We start from the raw sequence: 4,427 nt of genomic DNA, 5'->3' as shown, positions 1-4,427 counted from the left end.
CTGCTTTGAAGTGTTCCTAGCAGACCACACCAACAGCCAGGGTTGCAATAATGACTGCAGCCCCAGCACCTGCCAGTGCAGGGAACTAAGCCTTAGTTCCCTTGTAAGTAAAATAATAGAATTGCTGGAGGATTAAGTGTGGGATCCCTGGTGATGATACAGGGTGAGACACAGTAAGTGCTTCAGAATGTGTGGCTTCATCCCCACTACCATCACCACACGAGCATCATCACCATCATCACCATCATCAGCACCACTACCACCACCACCATCCTCCACTGCAGCTCAGCAATGACCCACTCTGAACATTCCTTGTTGTCTCCTCGGCTTTTGTCACATGAAGCTTCCTGCCCTGGCTCTCTTTCCTTGCTTGGTCTCACTTGAACCACTGACATTGTTGGTTTCCAGACCAATGTCATCCCAACCTTTCTCCCTGCTAATAGAAACCTGCTTATATGATTATAGATGTCTTCATTTCAGGGAAGGTGGGCCCAGAGGGTGGTCTGCAAAGTGGGCACAAGAACCAGCCACCATTAAGCTTCTGGGAGAAATTTCCCTTCCAAAAAAGAGAGATACACAAGCCTGATTTGACTACAGATGTATAAGAATGTGATGTTTGGTCAGGCACAGTGGCTCAAGCTTGTAATCTCAGCATTTTGGGAGGCCGAGGTGGGTGGATGGCTTGAGCTCAGGAGTTCAAGACCAGCCTGGGCAATGTGGCAAAACCCTGTCTCTATAAAAAATACACAAATTAGCCAGGCATGGCAGCACACATCTGTAGTCCCAGCTACTCGGGAGGCTGAGGTGGGAGAATTGCTTGAACCTGGGAGGTCAAGGCTGCAGTGAGCCATGATTGTGCCACTGCACTCCAGCCTGGGTGACAGAGCAAGACCCTGTCTCAAACAAAAAAAACAAATGTGATGTCTGTAGTTGTGGCGGCCATGTTGTAACCATGAGGCAATATGCACAGGGACAGAAATGCTGACATGCTGAGGATAAGAGATAAACAGCTAGAAAGAGCCTTGGTCCTTGATGACATCCTTGAGCCACTGAACTGACTTGGGATCCACCTTTTTTTAGCCTTAATGTTAAGAATCTACACTTTCTGTTACTCTTAATTGTTACTTGTAGCCAAAAGCTAAGACAGCAAACATGGTTTCAAACCATCTTCAAAGTTCTGACGTGGCACTTCCTAAAGCAATCTACTCCAGCCAGCCATGTGCCCACCCTATGAGATACCAGCTAAACAGCGCCTACTGAAGAACCCACCCGTGCCCCCTTTCACTCTCTCCCGCAGAAGGAAGAAAGGACACACACTGAAGTGCCCCAGAAGGTGGATAGGAATTGAGATGGAAGAATATGGGAGCACAGCAAGAACCCTCCCGTTCGGAGGGAGGAAGGAGTGGGGCACAACTGTCTTCGAAGACATCCTGCTTCTGAGTATCTAAAAAGATGATCTGAGAGAGAAGAGGTAGAACAAGTTCACATGTGAGATACTGTGCCCTCAGTACAGATTTGTGGCTGAACCTCAGATTAATCTTGTTTCATGGTCAACAATTTAACATATTACACACTGGACTATGCCCCCAAATGAGGTTTTATTTTCTCTCTCTCTCTATATCCCCCATCAGAATGGTGGAGGGAAGCAGTGAGCCACTGGATTTAACAGCTGAAGGAATCCTAGTGTCTTGCAGGTAAAGCAAGCCTTGCTGAGCCTTTCTCCCCTTCCCCCATTTTTCTTCCCAGGAGAGCTTCTAGGAGTAGGCGGGAGATTATGTATCCTCCTTTGATGGAGGGAGGGGTCTTGGGAAAGGAAGAGAGAAGCCTTGGGGTTGTTCTCTGGACCCCTGCTGGCTTCCCCTGACAGAGCTCAGGGCTGAGAACTTTGGTCTTTCTTTCAGCATGCTCACTGCCCACTGGACTCCCCCACCAGGCTGACTTGGCCCCGGCTCCATTCTTAGCAATGTTGCACACCCTGTTTCTCAGCCACACACCACCTGGCCTTGGCCCAGTCTCCCGCAGCCTGGTCTCTCCTCTGGGGTCACCTTGACCCTCACAATGGCAGCCCCATGGCAGCTCCACCTCCTACTTCTCATAGCTTTTGGTGACAGCTGGAGGACAACTCCAGATTCCTCCAGAGGAGCCAAAGGAGACTGGCTGCTACGTGGTAGTCTCCCTGCCCAGCCGTGGCTGACTCTGTCTTTTGGGCAATGGCATCACGTTGGATGCGGCGCTCTCTAAGAGGGAGCAAAATTTCCTCAGTCTAGCTCCCTGGAAATCATATGTAAGCCCTGAAATCAGACATAGCCTAAGACTTATCTGTGTCTTCTTACAACACATCTCTCTTGGGTTTCTCTTTGGGAGAAACTGTAGGAAAGCAGGATGGCACAGTCCAACCACTTCCCCTGCCTTCCTCTTCTTTCTTTCTCCCAAGACTGAAACAGGTTTCCTTCCGCTTGCAGCTTGAAGGGACTCCTCTAGGCACGTCTCCCTCCCCTGCCCTAGCAATATCCACTTTCTACGCTATGCCTGCTCTTTTCTCCCCTGAAGCACTAACCCCATGGCTTTGCCTCAGTGGTTAGGTGGGACTTCAGAGGAAAAAAAGCCACATTACTCATATTGCAATATATGTTGAGAGGCACTTAAACATAGTATCCCTAGTATATTCCCATCTGCACATTCTTCTGGGACCTACTAGTAGCTGCCGAGGCAAAGCCTGCTGTTTCCCAGCAGTCTTCCAGCTCATTGACTAGAATTTATTTCTGAATGAGAAGCCGTGCATAGCTCCCTCTTGCTGGGCTTGTCCAGAAGATAACAATGGCTCTCCCCCTCTCTTCCTCCCCTTTCCTCTCCATTTCAGCCAGCCTCTGCTTTCTGGCTGGGCCTCCAGGCTCTGGTGCTTTCACCAGTGCAGAGCAGCCAAGCTTGGGTCACAACTGTCCTGCACATAGGCCAGAGCAGGGCCACTCCGAGCTTGTGATCAACATGGCTGCGCTAGACAAGAAAGGATTCCTGGAGGAGGTGTGCCTAAGGACTCAGCCCTGAAGGGCAGATAAGAATCAGATTGGGGAGAGGAAGAGATGTCTTGCTCAATGACTCAGAGGCAGGAATGAACTGCTAAGAATATGCACTTGCCTGAAACTTCCCTGGTGAACCCTTACTTGACCTTCCAGACCCAGCTCCAAAGGGCTCCAAAGTTCTGTTAACCTTGCCGAACCATACTCTATGCCAATGGTGAAAAAGACATAGGCCCTCCATGATCAGAGGCACTGGGTACTCCCACTGTCCTGGACCCCTGGCAGCCCCCCAGCTCCATTCTGCAGTTTCCCTAAGGTCTGAGAGTCCAGGCCTATCCTTTGGTCTTGAGTAAGGAGGACCCCTTTGTGGCTCTCGGAAATTCATCCCCTGGACTTCAGATTGATTGATTTTGCACCCCCAGGAGAACTCTCAGCTTTAGTCACTGGAGGACAGACACATTCTTGTCCTCATCCATGTTTCCAAATTCATCAATCTGCTGTGTGGCCTTGGCAAGCCTCTTAACCTCTCTGGACCAGTTTCTTCATTCATAATATAAGGATCACACTGTGTCCCTTACAGGTCTGAGGATCCCATACTTTCATGCATGTAATACACTTAGCACACAATATGTACTCAGTGTCAGTTACTGTATCTCTTCAAACCTCATCTGGTAAAGTGGGGCCTACTTTACCAAGAAGCTTGTCTTCTTCCCTATTCATCCACATAAGTTTGTGCCAGGCTTCCTGGCAGCCATTACCAAGTACATCATCAAGAGGAGTGTGTCTACCCCCAGAGGCCTCATCCCTCCCAGGGCCTCTGGTCTCTCTGTAGTCCCCCAAGGACTCCCGTGCTCGCTCCTCTCTTGTCCCTTGGGTACAGCAGAGTCCCGGGAACACTCAGACTCCCTCATCTCCCTGTTCTGTCACCACCCTAAATCCTTCCAACCCATCTCCCTGCTCTCGTTCCTGACCTCTTTTCCCCAACACACTCACACACACATGCACACACACACACAGGCACACAATCACACTCATGCACGTTCTCAGACATGTACACAGATATACCCACAGGCTCACTCGTGTGCCCTCCAGAAATCATGTACTAAGTTCTGACCATATCAAAATGCCTTAAATGCACAGTGAAAAAGTAGGTTTAAATGGTACTAGGGGATGAAGACACCAGTCTCCTCACACCTGGAAAGTCAGGGTAAATTAAATGGAACAGAGATCATGTAAAGACAGGAGAATGAGAAGTTCACCTCTGTGATGCAGCTTGCAGATAGAGAAGCACAGTGATTGGGAACAGCAGCTCTCTGCTCAGACAGCCAAGGGGCTCAACTCACTGCTCTGCCATTTCCCAGCTGTGTGACCTCTGGCAAGTTACTTAACCTCCCTGAGTCTCCATGTCTC

Source organism: Homo sapiens, chromosome 3 (genome assembly GCF_000001405.40).
Source record: "Homo sapiens chromosome 3, GRCh38.p14 Primary Assembly".
NCBI classification, from domain to species: Eukaryota; Metazoa; Chordata; class Mammalia; order Primates; family Hominidae; genus Homo; species Homo sapiens.
The sequence above is the reverse complement of the archived record's forward strand: the minus strand, read 5'-3'. Positions refer to the sequence as shown.